We start from the raw sequence: 22,446 nt of genomic DNA on the forward strand, positions 1-22,446 counted from the left end.
GCATCCCATGTGTGCTGTCCCTCATCGATGCTGACCTGGCTTCTCGGGAGTGGATGATGAGAAGCTCTGCTACTGGTGCTTTTCTGGACTCTGCCCTAGGTGCCTCTTTCCTTGTGTGATTTACGTCTGTATCTTTTCCCTGTAAAAAACGGCACCATCACTGTAACAACTTTCAGTGTGTTCTGTGAGTCTTTCTAGAGAATTGTTGAACCTGAGGGTGGTCTTAGGAATCCGTGAACTTGCAGTTGATGTCAGAAGTGAGGGTACCCTTGAGGACCCCTCCCTCTAACTCTGCAGTTGGCTTACTTTCATACAGAGCTTGGCCCGTGCAGGGCGTTCAGTAAGCGTGTGTTGAGCAGATGAGCAGATGAGTGAGTCAATGCATGCCATGTTCTTTTTCCCTTTGCAGGTCAATCAGTTGAACTTTTAACCTTGAGAAGCCTGCCACGTGGTAATTACTTGGTGCCACTCTTCATTGGAGACAAACAGGGACTTTCCCAGAAGCAAACTGTCCATGTAAGGATCTGCCCCTGTGCCAGTGGGCTCACATGTGTGGAGCTTGCAGATGCAGAAGTGGGGCTTCATGTGGGGGCCCTGTTCCCTGTCTGTGCAGCATTTGTGGCTCTGGCAGGTCAGTGGTCTGTAGGGGTGTCCTGGGACTGTGGCTCCTCTCCCCAGGCAATAGGCCAGGGGTAAGGGGCTTGCTGGGGTAGGGGACAGCGGTGGCAGGATTGGTGGAATGGCTTTGAGAATGACTTCTGGGTGTACTCAGGCTCCTAGATGTAGATCAGAGGTTGCCATGCTGGCCAGGCAAGATCCCTGGCCAGCAAAAGCAGCTTCTACTCACAATGGAATCCACTGGTAAATATAGTCAAGGAGTGGCCCTTTGTTTGTAATAACCATGGAGACAGCAATGTACAGATATTCAGGCTCCTGGACTTGGCAAGGCTAATAAGAAAGCAGCTTTTCCAAGAAACAATACAATATTACTGGCCAGATAGTATTATTGATTAATTCAACAAACAGTTATGTAGCATCTACTGGTACCCTGGAACTGTGCTGAACTTTATAGCTACACAGATGACTAAGACGCAATTTGGCCTTGCCAGTTCATGACTGAGTTATACATGAACAGAACAAGATCCTCATGAAACCTCTGATATGGGTGAGCTTGTCTAATCTGTTTTTCCCCTTTGTCTTATAACAGTGGCTCTGCTTTTTCTGTTGCGATGCTATTTTGTGCTTGAACCTAAGAGGCATGGATGCTCTGTATCCAATGATGAAGGCCACCAAACACTGGTCATGTATAATGCGGAGAGCAAAGGCACTTCAGCCCAGGTAGTGGAATGTCATGCTTTGTGTCTTATGGCAAGGAATTCACTAATACACAGACATATAGCATGTATTTTTCCCCCCATTGTGCCACCTCTTAATTCTTCACTCTTACCCGTGTTTCAGTAGCAAGTGGGAAAAAATTCTTGCAAATACTATCTAACTCAGATAAATGAATTTATTCTTTTAGATCAATGGTTCTCAACCATGAGCAATTTTGCCCCATAGGAGATATTCATCAATGCCTGGAGACAGTTTTGATGGTCACAGTTAGGAGTGCTACTGGCATCTAGTGCGTTGAGGTCAGAGATGCTGCTAAACAGCCTACAACGCACAAGACAGCCTCTACCACAGAGAATTATCTGCCCCAGTTTCCTAAGTGCTGAGTTTGAGAAACTGTGCTTAGGGAAATAGTGTTTTTTATTAAGTAGACGTTCCCTAAATGGGATTGTGTTAGGCTCACTAGTTAAATGAGTCTGAGCTGGCTTCTTGGCCATGGCTTTCAGTAGATCATGGCAGAACCTGCTCTTCTACCATTGTCCGGCAAAGGCCAACCAGAAAGCTCACTGCCCTTGGAGGTACAAGGCCTAGGCTCTGTTTCTGCTTTTGCATCTCATTAGCTTCATCATTTAACCCTACATCCTCATCTGTGAACTGGGATGATAAAGTCAAATTCTTAGATAGGTTGTGGATCAGAGAGGATGCCTATGAAGGCACCTAACACAAGGCAGAGCCATATAAAGTAATTGGCCAATGGCCACTGGTTTTTCAAACTGGCTGCTTCTGAAATGGGCCCTACATTATCTTAGTCATCCTTGCAGCAACCCTGGGCTGGGGTTAGACAGACAAAGAGATGAAAGCATTGTGAGCTCTCCTGTTTGTCTTCATCTAGAATTAAGTGGTTGATTTAGAAAATGAACACAAAAGAAATGTCAAAAGGAAACACACACAGAGGATTCGGTCACCCCATCTTACACCTCCACCAATGTTTTTTTCCTGGAAGGGAGAGACTTATTGAATGAAGTCAGACATTTAGGGAAAAGATATTCCAATGAACTTGATATGATGCTCCTGTAATTAGAGAGTTTCTCAAAAATATTTGATTGAAGAAGCTGGTGCTCGCCCAAGGCTCCCAGGGTTCTTTGAATTTTGTCTTCCCTGCGGCATGAAGGAGGGAAGGGAGCAGCCACTTAGGCTCCTCTGGCAGGTATGTGCCTGTGCACCCTCCTGTGAGCCCTTCCTGGGTGGGGAAACAGGAGCAAGATCCAAACTCTCCAGATTGTGAAGTCCCCTGGAAGGAATCTCCGCATCCCAAATGTGAGAGCAGCAGTAAACTTGATTTGTTGTGTAATTTTAAGAAGAAAACCATCTGGACAAACAGCAGTCTTTGTGTAACAGTAGAATTTCTTGCCTTGGACAGTTCCAGTGGCTCAGAGGCTCAACCATGAAGGGAAACAGAAATGGTTCCCAGTCCCAGGAGCTGTGCCTCAGTCTCCTCCTTGGAGGGAGAGAGTGAAAGCTGCTGAGCTTGGAGGAGACTGGCAGGAATGTCACACAACCTGAGTTCAGGTTGTAGCTGAGGTGGAAGGGACAGTGGGGATGCCCTGGTTACCCTTCTTTCCCAGCAGCTTTGTGATTGTCTCTTGGAAAAGAGGAAGCAGCTATGGAAGCAGTGTGGGTGGAAAGGAACCTTGGCCCTTGTGATGCTAAGACCAGGAGGGTTGGAGGGGGCTTAATGACATGGTGGCACTGGTCAAAGACCAGCTATGCCAGTGGGACAAGAGAACCTCATGCTGGGCAAGGGGCTCTGTTCTCTTCTTGTACCAACAAATCTTTCTCTTGTTTCCCATTCACAGCTAAAGGCACATCTCCATTCCTGCTTCAGTATCTTAGGGCTCTGAGAAGTGGAATTCAACAGACCTGGGTGTAGATTCCAAATCTGTGATTGATCAGTTACATAATCTAACTGAATCTGACTTTCATATATAAAGTGAGCTTGATAGTCTTCTGTCTCTTAAGTTTTTTGGACTCTAATCAAATAACACATGTAAAATTTTCAGCACTAAGAGTCATGCAATAAAGGGTGGCCGCCAATATTAGCATTATTAGCAGTAATTACTGATTATATCTCTGTAACCTTGGTAAATAAGGCCATCTCTAGGTGCACTTATCCCTCTGTCCATCTTACATGAATATACCAGCTTACCTTGCACATCCACTCACCAGGAACATTCTGTGCTCTTGGGAAAACTCCATGCAAGATATCGTCACTAGCTGCACACATGTTGTCACATTCTACTACTAAACTATAGGGATGCCATCTGATGGTGATGATCTACAGAAATGCATAGATGCCTTCCCTGCATGTGGGGAAGCTAATGAGCCCTTGGCCAACAGAAATCCAGCACCCATCAACCTGAGTCCCTCAGTGAACATATATGTTGAGTGATAAATGAATGGGACAATGCACAGAATACCATGCAATGCTGGTGACCCCAAGAGCCATCACCATGAGCCCTAGGAAAAGACAAGCTTTTCAATTCTGAGAGCTCCTGAAATGAGCCTTTTACCATCAGTTTACATGGAACCCTGAACCATGAGAAGCTCAACCTCCCAGCGAGCAATTACAAAAGGCAAACAGAAATAACATTCTTTTCCCACATAAGTCATCCAGATTTACAGGAGAGGTGTATTTTTTACAGTCTGGACTTCTTCTGTGATGGCATAGATACAATGTGTTTTGGAGAAAATGTCATTCCTTTCCTTCTGTTTTTATTTCTGCTATCTGTGATTTCAGCCCTTGTCATATTTCTTTCTCTGTGTTCTACAGACATGGTCAGATGTTGAAGGCCAGAGGCCGGCTCTGCTCATCTGCACAGCTGCAGCAGGACCCACGCAGGGAGTTAAGGTAACATGCCCCTTACTTGCTTCTGGATTTCAGAGAAGTGACTTTCCTGGTGGTTTCCCTGACAAGGAACACCTGGGATGCTCCTCCCAGTGCCACATCCAGGGAGGTTCTTCTTCAAGTCAGCAACCCCAGCCCCTACTTGCAAAGCCCCATGGTTCCCTTAGCCTAAAACACCCTTGTCTTTCAGTGGCCAAGTTCTTTCTACTTTGCTGCGGTGTCAGATGACCCTGTGCTTCCAAATATCACTGTGTCCAGTGCCATATGGTGATTTTTTGCCATATGCATATGGCACTTGGACTAGTGTATTTCTTAAGACACTTTTTTCTTAAAATGGGCTTGTGTCCACATTAAGTACATTTATTTAAGTAGGAAATTTTATATTTCAACTGTAAATGAAAACAGTTTTACTTGTATAAAGAGCAGGCAAGTGTGAAGATAGCCATGAAAGAAGTAGGGCACAATGACTGGGTGGACGATGGCACTGCCAAAGGCCCGGGGCCCCTCTGCAAGGAAGGCAGAGCGTGGAAGCCAGGCTAGCACCAGAGTGACACTTCCTCCTGGATGTCATAAGGGTGTGGAAACAGAATTAGAAAGGGAATAATTTTCTCACCGTGCAAATCAGTGTTATTTAAAATTGTTTCCCAAGTAGCTAAATCTTCCATTCTATAACTAGTAGGTGTCCCCTACTTTGAAAACAAAGTTGACCCAGGATTGCCATAAATGAGCATGTGCCTGGCCAGGGCAGTGAGGAGGGCTGGGTTCGCCGTGCATTCTGACCACTAGTCTGTGCTCCTGGGGGAAGGGCTGCCCTTTTCTAGTTCCTACAAACTTGCCTCCTGGGCTGGCGAGAGCCTTCTCTTTCCTTCCTCTGAGCCAGTCTGCAAACTTCTAGAGGTCTAGGTGTTGCCCTGAGGGGCACACTATGCACTTTGCATGCCTCATCTTATTGAATTTTCACCAGAACCCATAGGGGCGTGTGTGTGGTAGGGGCAATCTTGCTTCCCTATTTTACAGGGGAGGGAACCAAAGCCTCCACCTTCTAGGTTTTGGTGTATCTCTGGGTTCCCTTCAGTGTCCTGCAAATATTGTAGTAAGTACATCTCTGGTGACTGCTTAAATAAACTGCCATTCACACACTTTCTCTAAGTGAAGCCGTCACTTATGATTTATGGGGTAACCTGATACTTTAAAATCTGCTGGATAGTGTGAAATAGCGTCAATGAGACCATTGTCAAGGTCCATTGCCTGCTTTATTTTCTTTGAAATATAACTTCATTATTGAAGCGTCACTATTAAAATAACAGAAACCCAAGGCAGAAAATGCCCACAATCCCATCCCTGAATCTAAACAGTTTCACCTGTGAGTGTCACCTTCTAGATGTCATCTGCGTGTCTATGCAGTTTTCAGGTGTCTGTGTCATGGAAAGAACATTAGCGTCTTCATGTTCAAACCTCCTCCTGCCATGCGGTTCCATTGTGCCTGCCCTTTTATCCCTGCATTCCCTGCCTCTCTTCATTTTCCTTTTCCTCCCACCGCGCCCTCCCTCTCATCGTGTTAATTTGTGTTTGCCTATGAATATATGAGCAAGGGGAAGTGGTGAGAGGTCACGCATGCCCACTTTGTTTCCAGCTGGAGAGAAATCCATTCTCTTTTGAGTAAATCAGCATTTTCCCTCTAGGATCTCGAGGAAGTGCCTCCATCTGCAGCGAGTCAGTCAGCCCAAGCACGCTGTGCTCTGGGGAGCTGGGTGAGTTCCAGAAGGTTGCTCCCTGCTACGGCCATCTCACTAGTGACTAACAGTTGGTCCCCCTGAGAGAGGGCCGTTGTAGAAGATTCGGTGATACTGTCAGAAAAAGGCACATAGTCAATGAAAATCTGAGAAGCTGGGCTTTTTCCACCCGACTCTATTTCCATCTATAGAACTAGGTATTATTATTGGTGATGGCTGCTGTTTTTAGAGTTGTTTGATAATCCTGATCAAATATGACACTTTTTAGAGCATCCACAAATAGATACATTTTCTCATGTCCTTCTAAGGGCACCAGAGATCATCTATAAAGTTAAAAGCACAGCACTTTGGCCCTGACTAAATTCCAGCCCAGTGACTGCATGCTTCCAGCGAAAGGGAGGCCTGACTTCCCATCTGTGTTGTGTCTTCTTGTACTCTACATACAAATTCCAGGACTATTGCTTTGTGAAATGACTTTTTCTGAAATAATTTTAGACTAAATAGAAGTTGCAAAAATAGTTTGGAGAGTTCTTGGGGGTCCCCCAAATATACCATCTTATGTAACCCTACTCCATGATCAAATCAGAAAATGGGCTTTGGCACAACACTGTGAGTACAGTTCTCAGTCACAGACCTTATTTGGACCTCACCAGTTTAACTAGCCATTATTTAACCAAAATGTACTTTTCTGATATAGAATTAAAAGAGGTATTCAGGGTCTAAAGAGCCATAGAATCATATCCAATTTTTATGAGGGAAAGCTTCTAAAATAAATTCAAGATCTCTATAATTTCATATCTTTGCACAGGCAGTATCTGAGCAAAGATGAAAACATGATGTTCTTCTTTGCACAAAGATGATGCCACAAATCCATCACTGAAGGGCTCCCGCATTGATGAATGTTGGGTTCCATGTCCTTGCAGCTGATCCTTCTGGTCCTGTTCGGGCCAGCTGCATGGACATGGAACACCCACCATGGCACAGGGCCTCCCACTCTAAAGAACCTCTGCTTGGTTTAATATTCTACTGTCACCATCTTGAAATTCTTAATTTTTGAACAAAGGGCCCCCAACTTTCATCTTGCACTGAGCCCTGAGAGTTGTGCCGCTAGGCCTGGGTCCTAGGAGTGGATGTGTGTCATTTGTTTGTATTCAGGGCATGGCCATGGCAAAAGGAAATCTTACTGGGTGTTAATGGACCCAAGATAGAGCTTGCAAATCTAATATTCTCATGTTCCTTCTTCACAAAGCAACTGTGAAACTTGTTCATGAATTTCTGCTATGAATATCTACACTCTTTAGAATTACTATACCTTTAGTACAAAAATGAAAGGCAATATGACTGCAAGAATTTCTAGTTATGTATTTGCATCCTTTGGTAATTTATTTGAAATCAGTAAATATTTCATCTTTCTTTAAGGGTTATGGCAAGCCCTTTGAGCCAAGAAGTGTGAAAAACATACACTCTACTCCTGTAAGTATAGATGTAGGTGTTACCGTGAACAAATTTACCTTATTGTTCTGCCTAAAAGCTGTGCAAATCCCTGAAAATTGGAAATTTGGAAGGAAAGAGGTGATAAAAAAAAATATGCCCAACATCCAAGCAAACTGAAGGAGAAGCGAACGTGAAGAGAGGTTGGAAGTAGTTAAGGCACATTTATCCCGTGACTCGAGGGCATAAGAGCTTTTCAGTCCCTGGCAAATTTCTTTTGCTGTTGAGTTGCTAAGACCTCAGTCATAGGCTGAGTTTTCTGCTGTGCTTTGTCACAGACCTATAGAAATTTTGAGCTAAGGGGGTCTTAGACATCATCTAGTCAATTTTTTTTTCTAAATATGTTTTGCACCAGAATTCTTCTTTTCAAATGAGATCCTACAAATAACTCCATTGTAAATAAAACATCTAAGTACTAATTTTGTATGCATTGACATTAATGACATATACCTATTACCAAAATAGCCAATAAAAATAATGATTCTGATGTAAACAGAAGGAAGTTGAATGTTGTGGATATAGTTTGCAAAATTATGTTAACTTAACACCTAATTCATTGCCTCGCATTATTATAAACTGGTTTTTAAAGTATCAAGAAAATTTTGATATATACCAACAAGCAGTTTCAAATCTTAATGGTTTTTGAATAGCTCAGTTTACAATGTTAGGATTCTCTTTGATTAATGAAACATGGGACCAAAAGCTTCATTTGAGTTGCATAAAAGCTAATTAACATGGCATCCCAAATTTACATGTTGGTGTGGGAGACTAAAAAAGATGTAAACCACTTTCTGTTATATTATAAAAATAATATTCAATATTGTTATTGAAATAATTTGTAAATAATGAAAATAAATTTCAAATACTCTAGCTGAAGTATCTTTGAGGAGTCGTAGGCCCTGGGGATAGAGTTAAACCAGTGGCTAAGTCCACAGAAGCCCAGAGAGGAGAGATAGTGCTCTCTCAGCCACAGTGCAGCCATACATAGTGTGGGGTTAGGACCTGAAGCTGGCTTGAGGCAAAATCACCCCAAGTCTACCTCGGGAAGGAGCCAGGCTGGAAACTGACACGGCGTCTTCCTCTGGTCCTGGATGAGCCCCATGCTTGGTCAGTGAGCATCTGGTGCAAGGGTACTTTGTACATAGCCCACATCTTAAGGGTCCTCCTCTGAGAGGCCCCTGGGGCTAAACAGACTGAGGGCACAGCATCTCCAGTCAAGTGCTCCCAGCACTGGGAACCAGGCAGCAGGGTCCCTAGGGCTGCTTGTAGTGGTCCACACCTTGCCTCTTTGGCTTAGTATGTTTGGTTCAGCTTACCTTGGTATGATGTGGCTTCACTATGTGTACACACATGTGTATATGTACAGTCATGTCTGGCTTAATGATGGGGATACGTTCTGAGAAATGTGTTGTTAGGTGATTTCATCACTGTGTAAACTTCATAAAGTGTTTTACACAAACCTAAATGGTGTAGCCTACTACACACCTAGACCTCTTGGTGTAGCCTGTTGCTTCTAGGCTACAAACCCGTACAGCATGTGACTGTACTGAATACTGTAGGCAATTGGAACACAATGGTGTTTGTGTATCTACCTACACAGGCCAGGGCGCCGTGGCTCACGTCTGTAATCCCAGCACTTTGGGAGGCCGAGGCAGGCGTATCACGAGATCAGGAGATAGAGACCATCCTGGCTAACATGGTGAAACCCTGTCTTTACTAAAAATACAAAAAATTAACTGGACGTGGTGGCGGGCGCCTGTAGCCCCAGCTACTTGGGAGGCTGAGGCAGGAGAATGGCATGAACCTGGGAGGCGGCGCTTGCAGTGAGCCAAGATCGCGCCACTGCACTCCAGCCTGGGTGACAGAGCGAGACTCCATCTCAAAAAAAAAAAAAAAAAAAAGAAAAGAAAAAAACACCTACACATAGAAAAGGTACAGTAAAAATACAGCATTACAGTCTTATGGGACCAGCTTTATATATACGGCCTGTCATTGAAATGTTATGCCGTGCATAACTGTATGTATGCATGTGTATATAGATAGATATGTGTATTCAGTTGACCCTTGAACAATAGGAGTTTGAACTGTGTGGGTGCACTTATATGTGGGTTTTCTTCTGCCTCTGCCACCCCCGAGACAGCAAGACCAACCCTTCTTCTCCCTCCTCCTCTTCATTCTACTCAGAGAGAAGACAATGAAGATGAAGACCTTTATGATAATCCACTTCTACTTAATGAATAGTGAATATATTTTCCTTAATGACATTTTCTTTCTTCTAGCTTACTTTGTTATAATATAGTATATAATACATATGACATACAAAATGTGCATTAATTGACTGTTTATATTATTGGAAAAGCTTCCAGTCAACAGTAGACTGTTAGTTGAGTTTTCGGGGAATCAAAAGTTATAGGCATGTTTTCAACTGTGCAGGGTCAGCACCCCTAACCCCCACATTGTTCAAGGGTCAACTGTATATGTATATGTCTATATGTCTATATGTATATGTATAGAAGCATGTACATGTACAGAGGCATGAGTATGCATATATGAACATGTGTATGTTTGTCTGTATATGTGCATGTGTATATATCTGTATGTATGTATGTATGTATGTATGTATGTATGTATGTGTATATATAGCCTCATGGACATACATAATTGCCCCAGGCTTTATCATATTTTACATATGTCTTCTGGAACCCAATAAGTATCCCTAAACCCAGGTAAGATCAGAAGTCATCTCAGCCATAAAGGCCACCAGTGATTAAAAACACAAATTGTATGTCACTCTCCAATTTAAGACTTCCTGTTGGCTTGCCATTGCACCTGGGATAAAGTCTACAACCTTATGACCTTAAGGGGATCCTCCCTCCAGGGCTGCTTTGCAGAACCCAGCCTAAGACAGACCTATGTCTTTAATGTCCTGTGAGACCCTCTATCACATGGCCTTTGCTCACGTATGGCTTCAACTTGCTCTGAGCCTCCCCCCACCTCCCTAACCATCCCAGCACCCCACCTCTTTGGGCTCCAGCCACAGAACACGCCAAGTTCCCTCCCTGCTTAGGGCCTGTGCTGTTTCTTCTCATTGGAATTCCCTTCTGTTCCATGGCCCTACAACTTCCTCCTCCTGAGAACTCCCTGCTCTCAACTGGGTGAGATCCCCTCTTAAACCTTCCCTTGGTGATCAGTCTTACATTTACCGCCACTCTTGGGTGCTTGCCTTGCACCTGCGTGAGCTCGACAGTGAGGCCCCAGGTGCTTTGCTTGCCTCCAGGCCAGCCTGACTCACATGATTTAGTGGTGGGATTTGTGAGCCCCCAGATAGCCACTCCTTCCAGTAGATGCCAAGCCTGTTTCCTACCACTGTATCCTCTGCCCTTAGATAGCACAGAGACCCAGATCCACAGACATGGGCCAGATGAGCAGGAGACTGCCAGCAGCCCATCATGGGAAACAATGGGCAGGTTCAGAGGAAGAGAAGCCAAAATGAGCGAGGAGGGGCAGTGTAGTTGAGGGGGTGCAAGGCATGAGTGAGGGTGTCAGCAGGAACAACCCTCCTGGCCGGGCTCACTTGGGTTCCTTCCTCACTGAAAGTTTGTTTCAGCCCAGGCATTGGAAAGTCTAGCCATGAGAGCTTGCAGGGCCTCCCTCTCTCCCCCAACACAAAGAGAGGAAACGTGAGCAAACTACCCTGGGCCTGGCTCTTCACCTCCAAGAGAACGGTGCTCAGTGTGCCCCATCTATGCTGGGGCCACTGACACACAGGGGTTGGGGGGTAGGACAAGGGCTCTGCTGTGGTATGAAGCTCTACTGGTTTGCTTGCAGGCTTACCCAGATGCCACAATGCACAGACAACTCCTGGCTCCGGTGGAAGGAAGGATGGCAGAGACATTGAATCAGGTAGGGAGAGCTCCCCTTGTGCTGTGCACTAGCTATGGGTTTTGCATCCCCACTGTGCTCCAGGCTTGATTTGGGGACACTTCCTCCTAAATCACTGCATTAGTCAGCTAAGGCTGCCATAATAAAATACCATAGCCTGACTGGTGGCTTAAATAACAGAAATATATTGCCTCATGTTTCTGCAGGCTAGAAGTCCAAGGTCAGGGTTCCAGCATGGTTGGGTTCTGGTGAGAGCTCTCTTGCTAGCTGGCAGATGGCCACTTTCCCGCCGTGTCCTCACATGGGATGGAGAGAGAGATACCAAGCTCCCTGGTATCTCTTCTTATTAGGGAACTAATTCCATCATGAGGACTCTACCCTCATGAGCTCATCTAAACCTAATTGTCTCCCAAAGGCTCCGTCTTCAAATGCCATCACATTGGGGTTAGGGCCTGAACATATGGATTTGGAGAGGGAACACAATTAAGTCCATAGCAATCACTTTCATGGAAATCCTCCATCCAGTGCTGCTTTGCAGAACCCAACTGAAGACAGAATTGACACAGCACAGGCAAGCCCCAAAACTGGGGATTAGCCCAGGAGGGTTTTGGGAAATAATTCAAAGGTGAGGTGGAGGTGTTAGACAGCAGTCTTCTATTCAACATTACTGCTCCTTGCAAGGCAGGGCTAACTCATAGGCAGTACACTCAGAGTCAGAAATGTATGGGCTGTTGGCAACTGTATTTATACCCACTAAAACCCACTTTCAATTACATGCAAATTAAGCAGCAGGTTGATGCAAACGGAGGGGCTGGTTATTTAGAACTTTCTAGGACAGCAGTGATAACTTCTGGGTCACTGCCATGGCATTTGTAAGCTGTCCTGGCACTGGTGTGAGTCTCTTGCACCAGTGAGCAATGAGGGCATCCAGGGTTCACTTTCGTCTCATCTGCTGGTTTCTGCTGGTTTTTTTTTTTTAACTTCATCCCATCTGGACCAGATCCTGTTTTGGTCAGCAGGGTTGTGACCAGAAAACAAGACCTGCTGGCCTCCTACCTCAGAATGAAGGGTCTTTTCCTGCAAAATTGTGAAAGATGTAGTTTGACTGCGCTGAAGGGGTCTATTATGTGAGATTCTGATTTTGGGTACATCCTGAAAGGTCCATCAACACAGCCACTGCGTACTCCTGGGAAGATTAGAAAGCAGCTTGGGAGCTGGGCAAACCCATGGGCAGGTTTACATGGATAGGGCAGAGCCAGTCCACATGCTCGTGTCATGGAGGCTCTGCATGCCCCCTGCTTGGGGAAGGAGGTACCAAGAAGCTGCCCAGGCCATTCTGACTCTAAGCAGCTCCTCCTGTTGCAGGGCAGTGGGAACTCAGGCCTATGGAATGATAAGCACAAAGGAAGACATAAATGTAGACAGTCTCTGTCAGGCCAGACTTATTTTTTTGGCAAACACGTGTATAATACTCACTTTGTTGTAGACTCTGTTCTGAGGACTTGAAAGATGTTAACTCTTAGTCTGCACATCAGCCTATTGGGGGAGGTGCTGTCATATGCCTTTTTATAACATGTGGAAACCCAGGAACAAAGAAGTTGGGTAATGTGTCCAAGGTCACAGCCACAGAAAGCAGTAGATTTGGGGCTCAAATACAGGCAACTGGGCTCCAGGGTCTAGGCACTTAGGGGGCTCATTAAAAAGCAGCAATCCCCAGTACCAACTCTGTGGACCCTGCTGTAGTGGGTCTGGGGTGCGCATCTGAGCCTCTGACTTGAGGTCCTGGGATCCTGTTTTGTGAAACCCATTGGTGAGCCTGGACGTCTCCTGCTGTGGTTGTCAGAGTGGATGACAGACAGGGCTGTGAACACTGTGGCCTGAGGAAGTGAGCCCAGACTGTGTCTGGATGTAGAGTCACTGTCTGGGGTTTCCCCAATGTTGCTTCCTCTGGTTCCTGTCACAGTCCCCAGGTGGGAGCTCCAGCTCTGTGCCCCAGTGACAGCCCCAAAGGTGCTGTAGGCTTGGCCCCTTCTCACTCCCACTCCTTAGCCCTGCAGAATGGGTGCTGCCTGGCACCTGCTTCAAGACAACACAGACATCTTCTCCGGGCCTAGAAGCTTTGCCTAAAAGCAGGCAAGCCAGGCTCCTGCAGAAGGGGGCTGTGTACCCACAGACTCAGGGCTGCAGGGCCCTTCCCCAGGTCCTGACTGCTGGTGAGGAAGATGAAGGATGAGCTGCGGGGAAATTTCCATGTGTCTCTCCCGAGCCGACTGTAACCTCCCTGAGGGCCAGGCTGTGTCATTACTGGTGCATGACACAGGGGTCACTGAAGAAGCAATGAAAGAACCATTTTCACTATAACCCAATGTGGTAGATGAATCCAAAAATGGAGGCTCAGACAAGTTGCTCCAATGGTAAAGGCACGAGGGACAGAGCCAGAAATGGGGCACAGAGTGGCCGACTACAGACGGGCCCACCTGATCATTAAGCAGGGTCAGGGAAGTCTCCTCTCTGAGCCTTAATTTCTCATCTACAAAGGAGAGTTGGGGCAGCTCTGCTACACTCTCGGGTGAAGCTCTGTGCAGACCAGATCATGTCTCTACAGAAAACGTAGCATGTGGTGATCATCACGTAGTATCCAGCTTACCCATTTTCACATTTGCGCACACACACGTGAACGCATGCACATGCACACATACCGCTCATGCCAAGTGGACTGTGTGGACAGTATCGCAGGTCCTGCCTGGCTGAGCAGGAGAGGGACGTGTTCCAGCCGCGGGCCCCCCTCCTCCCTCTGCGGGGCAGGGAGGCAGCTTTATTCAATGGAAGCTCGAAGCTCTGCTTGGTGGTGTGAGAGGAGGGAACACCAGATTAGAGGGCCCTGTTCTTTCCTTGTGAGCCCTCTAACTTGGATGGTGGTGTATGATGAATTATTGATCTGATGAGGCCTCCAAAGTTGCTGAATCAGGGTGCAGACATCCACTGCTCTGCTGTCAGCCTGGGGGTTTTGAAGTTGAATCCACCCAGCACAGCCCCCACTGCAGATTCTGTTTTGCTCTGCACACACCAGGTCTGTCGCTAATTATCTATTCAGCTTCACTGCAAGGACGTGAACCGACTCCTAACACGTAGGCCAGAGCTTGTGTATCTGCTGGTTTTGCCGTAAAAACTTTCTTTCCTCCCCCTGCCCCCAGCTCCCCCATGCCATATGGTCAGACAGTGACCACAGTCCCTGAGTAAGCAGACCCAGTCAATGGGCCAGATGTGCAGGTGAGCATTCCCGCGCTTCTCGTGGGCACCAAGCCTGACATAGCAGTAGACTGGGGCGGGGAGACAGCATTTCCCACTAAACAAGGGCCCAGGCAGGGCTCCTGAGAACCAGAGGAAGCTGGAGACAGCTTGTTGCAGTCACTGGGTGGGGCGGGGCGGGGGGCATAGTTAAGAGCTTGGAAGCCCAGGGGTCCCATCAGAATGGGGACACGCATGGGGTCCCTGGGGCCCCAGAGCTGCCCTTTCCAGGCCCTCCCCACCTCCCACCTTGGGCTTGAGCCCCAGGATTCTGACTGTTTTCATGCCCTACATGAGCTCACCCTCTCAGAATTACTATCAGCAGTGACGGATTAGACAGGCTCCCACTAAACCCATTCCTGCCAAGGTCTGTAGAACTGGCGCTGGGTTCAGATAGCACCCTCTAGAGGTATTAGAAGGTAAATAGGCTAAAGTCCCTCTCCCCTCCCCTCCCCTCCACTCCCCTATTTATTGAATCACTCAGGCCAGAAAAGTCTTCACAGAGAGATGACTTGGGTCCTGAATGCTGAGCTGGAGTTTGCTGGGTTGGAGATTGGCAGAGGAGGGCTGTCTAGGATTCTAGGCAGACAGGAATGAGCAGATATGAAGCCTAGGAAATGTTTCTGGGGTTTGTGCAGAGGGTGGACCTAAGGCAGGAGAGGTTGGGGAGAGGAGGAGATGGTGAGAAGAGGGCTGTTTGGAGGGAGAAAGCCATGGCAACCCCAGAGCAGGGTGGCTTAATGCGCAGAGCAGGCACCTCTGGCTCACGTCACACATCAGGGTGGGTGTCGAGCCGGAGCCTGCCCAGGGTCCTCCCACTCTGTGGCTCTGCCACCACTCAGAACTGGAAATGGGGCTGGAGGACAGAGAAAGAACAGAGGCTCTTGGGGAGGCTTTCATGGCCAGGTACGTGTCCCTGACATCCCTATTTCATCAGTCACGTAGCCACATCTAGCAGAGAGGCAGGAAATGTGATCTTGCCGGGTGACCAGAAGAACAAGAAATGAGTTTAGTGAACTTGCCACTCTCGCCCCAATGAGTGGAGATAGGGACCTATCCTCAGGCATTGGCCATGGGGCTGGAGGAGAGGGGACAGAACTAGAAATACTGCCGAGCATTTGAGAGGATGGGGCAGGGGAGAGTTGGTGATGACTCTAGGTTTCAAGGTTGAGCAGCTGGGCTGTAGGGGATGTCCTGACTTAAGTCAGGCTAGAGTTTCATGAACTTTGGTCATTCTGTCACTACTGTCACGCTTGTGTTTAACCCACTCACTATGATGTATTTAATGCATTTCTGTAAATCAGCTCACATGTTAATTAGCTTTTGGCTTTACAATCAGCTAGTGTGAAATCATGGATTTGGCGTGCTTGTTATTGTGTTTTGAAATATACGATAAAATGGCCATTCACTCAAATAAATATGTGTTCTGATACCATCGAAATCATCTAATGATGCAGGGGTCAGTGAACTTCCTATAAAGGGCCAGATAGTAAATCCTGTAGGATTTGAAGGCCAGTTCCCACAGCTCAGCCCTGCCATTGTTCCGTGAAAGCAGCCACAGATGATACACAAATAAACGGTCTTGGCCGTGCTCCAGTAGAACTTAATTTACAACAACAGGTGGTGTGCTGGATTATCCCCTGGCTTGTAGCCGGCTAGCCCCTGTAACAGGGGGTGCGCACTGCACTTGGCGAGCATTGAGGGAGGGACGTGGGAGGAGGAGATGTAGGTTGTGGGCAAAACCACAGTGGTTTCCAGGATGTTGAGTCTGAGGTCTCTGTGGATGTCCTTGTGGAGCTGTCTGGTTGGAATTCTGGCTCTGGATGTGACTGTAGGGAGTGTCACAGAGAGAGATGGTGACGGGGACATCACCATTGGTTAGGGATGGATGAAGCCATGGCCTGAGCATGAATGGGGAGACTGGAGGGCAGTGGTTTGAGGAGCCACATGGGTGAGAAAGGGGTGGCAGGAAGTGGTGGCCGCCCTTTCTTGCAGGGAGGCTGTGAAGTATGAGCAGATTGAAGGATAGACCTGAGCACATTTGTGGGTCGGGAGAAAGGAGCCCACAGCAAGAGGCCAGGTAAAGATGAAGAGAGAGGGGACAGTTGTCCAAACGAGGGCCGGGGGGTCATGGAAGGGGAGGTGTCCAGGGCACAGGACAGGGAAGGGCGAGCCTCAAGGAATGAATCTGCAAGAGGGTGGGAGCAGGTGGGAGGTCCTCCTGGGGGCTCCTGTCATACTCCTGGGGCGGCCACCACTGTGTCACAGTTCCCTCTCAGACTGTAAGGTGGGATGTCTCCCCTCAGCATGGCTGCCACTTCTGGAACTGTACGAACTCCTGTGTCAGCTGAGGACACGGGGCCTGAGTGCTGTTACTACTGCATTGATGTGTTCCTCGAATCAAACCTAGAGAAATGAGCTGGGTATGGAAGCACATGGCATTTACCTTCTCTTTCCCCCACTTTTCCCCAGAAACTCCATGTTGCCAATGTGCTGGAAGATGACCCCGGCTACCTACCTCACGTCTACAGCGAGGAAGGGGAGTGTGGAGGGGCCCCATCCCTCAGCTCTCTGGCCAGCTTGGAACAGGAGTTGCAACCTGATTTGCTGGACTCTTTGGGTTCAAAAGCGACTCCGTTTGAGGAAATATATTCAGAGTCAGGTGTTCCTTCCTAAAAAAAAAAGTCTATTTTGGAGAATTGAAATAATTCATGGAAGGGAATCACTATTCAGGGATTTTTCCCCTTTGCTCTTCTTTTCCCTCCTTAAAAGAAAAATTACCTTCTAGTCCTAGGATGAGGACACACTATTAGTTTGAATTAAATGCTTTGATATTCTCAGATCAGCCATCTTGAACCAAAGCAAAACCACAAGTTACACTTTCTTAAAATTTGATTTGTCATATTTTCTAGAGAAACTTGAATTTAATTGTGTTATTCTTAGCTTCCACTGGCAGCCTAGCTTTGAGGGTAAATGAAAATATAACCCATAGATTACCCAGCCACTTGGGAACAGCAGGTAATACTGAAGAAAAATAAAAATAGATTTTGAAAACGTTACTTACATTTCTATGATTATGATTCTGCTTCCATTTAAGGGAAAACTTAGGTAAATAGAGAAATTTTTTCTATAACATTTGTAGTCAGTATTTGAAGTGATTTTTTAAAAAATAAGTATTGGTCCCTGTTCACTTTTTGATTAGATAAATAGATAAAATATGTTATCTTGAGAAAAATGATTATGCTGAAAGCTTTATAAACAGTATACTCTTTAAAAAATGAAGAGCTGACATAATTTAACTTGTATGTATTATGTAAGTAAAAGAGTTAGGAGCCTTTGAATGAGTAAGTTCTGATTAGATTTTATCTTTAAACAAAACCACAAAATTTAATTGGTTTTTACTTGTCCACTTACTGCTAGTGTCAGTTTCAGGGGAAGAAATGGTTTCTTTTAAAAATCTTAATAGGGGACATATGCCCTAAAAATAGTCAGTTTTCTAGTCTGAGTAATAGATAAGAGACTGACTAAGCAAAGTTTAAAATGCTATTTGGACACTTTAATGCACATATTGGATATCTAAAAGTCTACAGCCATATAAAAATTTTATATAATTAATGAGCAAATGCCGTCTCTCATGCCCTAAAATAAATCAGTAGAAACATGTTTGCTGGTGAATCAGTGAAGCATTATGTTAAACAGTGAGTTACAGCTCAGAGTTAAAACTTTCTCCTTCTTTTTGAAGAAGCTGTGCAAATACTTCTTTTTAAGGAGATCTGGCCTTTTCCTACCTGGTTACCTCAGTCTTCCTCTGCTTTGGGAAGCTGAAAAAGAAGAAAAATCACATTTAAAGCACTGGAATGTCTGAATGGGACGCTTGAATGTGTAGAACAGCTGTACTGATCCTAGCATGACTCAGAGGACAGTCTAGGGCATTTTCTGGGTAATTCAGGATAAAAGTATTTTTTTTTTTAAGAAAAATACATGTTTTTGGACAACAAAACAAAGTAAACATTAGTTTATTCGATTGCCTCCTTATACTTGCCTCTTTCATTCTGTCCCCTGTAGATTTTTAAAAAATTATCTCATTTTAAAACTTTATTATTTCATTTTAAATAATTGACATATAATAATTGTACATATTTAGGGGGTACATAGTCATGTTTCAATACATTTACAGTGATCAGATCAGGGTGGTTAACGTAATCATTGGCTCAAACATTTTTCATTTCTTTGTATTGGTACGGAGCATTCAATATCCATCCCCCTTCTAGCTATCTAAAACTATGTATTATTGTTAACTATAGGCAACATATAATGGTATAGAGTGCTAGAACGTATTCCTCCTAGGAATAATTTGCTGTAATTTTGTATCCTTTAATAAATCTCTCCCTATCCCTCTTTCCCCCCACCCTTCCCAGCTGCTGTGTCCTCTGTTCTACCTTCTACTTCCGAGATAAACTTGGTTTTAGCTTCCACATATGTGTGAGGACATGTGATTTTCAACTTTCTGCAGCTGGCTTATTTCTCTTAACATAATGTCCTCCAGCTTCATCCATGTTGCCATAAATGACAGAATTTTTTTATTTTAGTGGCTGAATAATATTTCATTGTGTATATATACCATGCTTTCTTCATGCATTCATCTGCCTTTGGACAGCTAGGTTGATTCCACATCTTGGCTATTGTGAATAGTGGTGTAATAAACATGAGGTGCAGATGTCTCTTCAAAATACAGATTTCCTTTCCTCTGGACAAATGCCCAGTAGTAGGATTTTTGAATTATATTGTAGTTCTATTTGTAGAGTTTTTGAGGAACCTCCATACTCTTCTCCAAAGTGCCTGTACTAATTTACATTCCTACCAACAGCGTATGGGTTCCCTTTACTCAGCAACCTCACCAGCATTTGCTTTCTTTTCTTTATTTAATTTAATTAAAAATTTTGTTTGAGACAAAGTCTCACTTTATTGCCCAGGCTGGAGTGCAGTAGTGCAATCTCAGCTCACTGCAACCTCTCCACTTCCTGGGTTGAAGCAATTCTCCTGTCTCAGCCTCCCAAGTAGCTGGGACTTCAGGCATGAGCCACCACGCCCAGTTAATTTTTTGTATTTTTAGTAGAGATGGGGTTTTGCCATGTTGGCCAGGCTGGTCTCTATCTACTGACCTCAGGTGATCCGCCCACCTCAGCCTACCAAAGTGCTGGGATTAAAGGTGTGAGCCACTGCATCTGGCCCAGCATTGGCTATTTTTGACTCTTTGATAGTAGCTATCCTAACTGGGATGAGATAATACCTCATTGTGGGTTTGATGTGCCTTTTCCTGACCATTCATGATGTTAAGCAGTTTTTCATATATTTTTTGGCCATTTTATGTCTTTTGAGAAACATCTGTTCAGATCATTTACCCATTTTAAAATTGGATTCTTTTTATTTTGCTGTTGAGATATTTGAGCTCCTCGTGTATTCCAGATAATAACCCCTTATTGGATAAATAGTTTGCAGATATTTTCTCCCATTTTGTACGTTAACTTTTCACTCTGTAGTTTCCTTTGCTGTGCAGAAAATTTTTCGTTTGATATAATCCTATTTGATTATTTTTGCTTTTGTTGTCTATGCTTTCGAGGTCTTACTCATAAGTTTTTTTACAAGACCAATTTCCTGAAGCATTTTCCCTAGATTTTCTTCCAATAGTCTTATAGTTTTGGGTCTCACATTTAGGTCTTTGATCCACTTTGAGTTGATTTCTGTATAGGGTGAGAGAGGGGAGTCTAGTTTCATTCTTCTGCATATAGATACCTACTTTCCCCAGCACCATTTGTTGGAAAGACTATCTTTTCCTCAATGAATGTTCGTAGTCTTTTTGTCAAAAATCAGTTGGCTAAAGATATGTGTATTAATTGCTTGAGTCTGTATTCTGTTTCATTTATTGATGTGTCTGTTTTTATAGTACCATGCTGTTTCAGTTATTATAGTTTTGTAGTATATTTTGAAGTCTGATAGTGTGATCCTTGTAACTTTGTCTTTTGTGCTCAGAATTGTTTTGGCTCTTCAGGACCTTCTGTGGTTCCACACAAATTTTAAGATTTTTTTTTCTATTTCTGTGAAGAATGTCATTGGTGTTTTGATAGGGATTGCATTGAATCTGTAGATTGCTTTGCATAGTGTGATAATTTTACAACATTAATTCTTCTGATCCATGGGCATGAAATGTCTTTACATTTGTTTATATCCTCTGATTTTTCATCAGTATTTTGTAATCTTTTTTTGTAGAGGGTTTTCACTTCCATGGTTAAACTTATTCTTTGATATTTTAGTTTTTTGTAGTTATTGTAAAAGGGATTGCTGTCTTGATTTTTCAGCTAGTTTGTTGTTCATGTATAGAAATGCTACTGATTTATGTATGTTGATTTTTGTCTCCAGCAACTTTGCTGAATTTATTTATCAGTTCTAAGAGTTTTTGGTAGCATCTTTAGGTTTTTCTATATATGAGATTATGTCATCTGCAAACAGGGACAATTTGACTTCCTCCTTTCTAATTTGAATTCCCTTTTTTTCTTCCTCTTGTCTTATTGCTCTGGCTAGGACATTCAGTATTATGTTGAATACAAGAAGAGAGAGTGGGCACCCTTGTCTTGTTCCAGTCCTTAGGGGAATAGTTTCCAACTTTTCCTCATTTAGTATGATGTTAGCTGTGGGTGTGTCATATATAGCCTTAATTTGTTGAGGCACTTTCCTTTTATACCTAATTTTTTGGTATAAAAGATTTCTCATGAAAGGATACTGAATTTTATCAGAGGCTTTTTCTGCATCCGTTGAGATAATCATATGGTTTTTGTCCTTCATTTTGTTGATGTGATGTATCATGTGTACTGATTTGGGTATATGAAAGCCTTGCATTCCTGGGATAAATTCCACTTGACCATGATCTTTTATCTTTTTAATATATTTTTGGATTTGGTTTGCTAATATTTTTGTTGAGGGTTTTAACATCTATGTTCATTGGTGATATTGGCCTGTAGTTTTCTTTTTCTGTGTGTCTTTGTATGGCTTTGGAATGAGAGTTATGCTGGCCTCATAGAGTAAGAAAGGAAGAGCTATCTCTACTTGTTTTGTGGAATTGTCTGAGAAAAGTTGGTATTAATACTTCTTTAAAGTTTGGCAGAATTCAGTAGTGAAACCATCCGGCCCTGAACTTTCTTTTCTTGAGATAATTTTTATTATTGATTCAATCTTATTACTTGTTATTGGTCAATTGAGGTTTTCTATTTCTTTTTGGATCAATCTTAGTAGGTTGTATGTGTTCAGGAATTTATCCATTGCCTCTAGGTTTTCAAATTTACCGGCATATAGTTGTTCACAGTAATTAATAATTCTTTGTATTTCTGTGGTCTCTATTGTGACATCTCAATTTTTTGTTTCAATTTTATTTACTTGAATCTTTTCTCTTGTTTTCTTAGTCTAGCTAATGGTTTGTTGATTTCATTTATTTTTTCAAAAAATCAACTTTTTGTTTCATTAACCTTTTGTATTGTTTTTCTGGTCTCGATTTTGTTTATTTGTGCTCTGATCTTTATTATTTCTTTCCTTCTACTAATTTTGGGTTTCATTTCTTCTTGAATTTCTAGTTCCTTAAGATACATTATTAAATTGCTCATTTGAAATATTTCTAGTTGTTTAATGTAGTCATTTGTTACTTTAAACTTGCCTCTTACTACTGTTTTTGCTATGTTCCATAGATTTTGGTGTGCTGTGTTTCCTACTTTTATTTGCCTCAAGGAATTTTAAAATCTCATTCTTAATTGATTTTCTCACTCCTTG

The 22,446-nt window shown here is 44.0% G+C and overlaps 1 protein-coding gene across 5 annotated transcripts in view; it reads left to right on the top strand.

Annotated features, from left to right (window-relative positions):
- Positions 1 to 22,446, top strand: part of CDH26 (cadherin 26) — a 77,512-nt gene that overhangs the window by 37,001 nt on the left and 18,065 nt on the right. Inside the window, exons 12-18 of one of the 5 annotated variants that reach the window (NR_145482.2) lie at positions 410 to 631; positions 1,208 to 1,338; positions 4,163 to 4,240; positions 5,920 to 6,167; positions 7,390 to 7,443; positions 11,290 to 11,364; positions 17,104 to 19,106. Coding sequence is in view for 4 of the 5 variants with exons in the window: in NM_177980.4 (NP_817089.1) it covers positions 410 to 631; positions 1,208 to 1,338; positions 4,163 to 4,240; positions 5,920 to 5,988; positions 7,390 to 7,443; positions 11,290 to 11,364; positions 17,104 to 17,307 (833 nt within the window). In the remaining variant the exon portion in view is untranslated. Of the gene's footprint in view, positions 1 to 409; positions 632 to 950; positions 1,166 to 1,207; positions 1,339 to 4,162; positions 4,241 to 5,919; positions 6,168 to 7,389; positions 7,444 to 11,289; positions 11,365 to 17,103; positions 19,107 to 22,446 lie in introns of those variants that run through there. The other 4 variants (NM_177980.4, XM_011528970.4, NM_021810.6 and 1 more) reach the window with 4 other exon arrangements.

Source organism: Homo sapiens, chromosome 20 (genome assembly GCF_000001405.40).
Source record: "Homo sapiens chromosome 20, GRCh38.p14 Primary Assembly".
In the NCBI taxonomy this organism is placed as follows: Eukaryota; Metazoa; Chordata; class Mammalia; order Primates; family Hominidae; genus Homo; species Homo sapiens.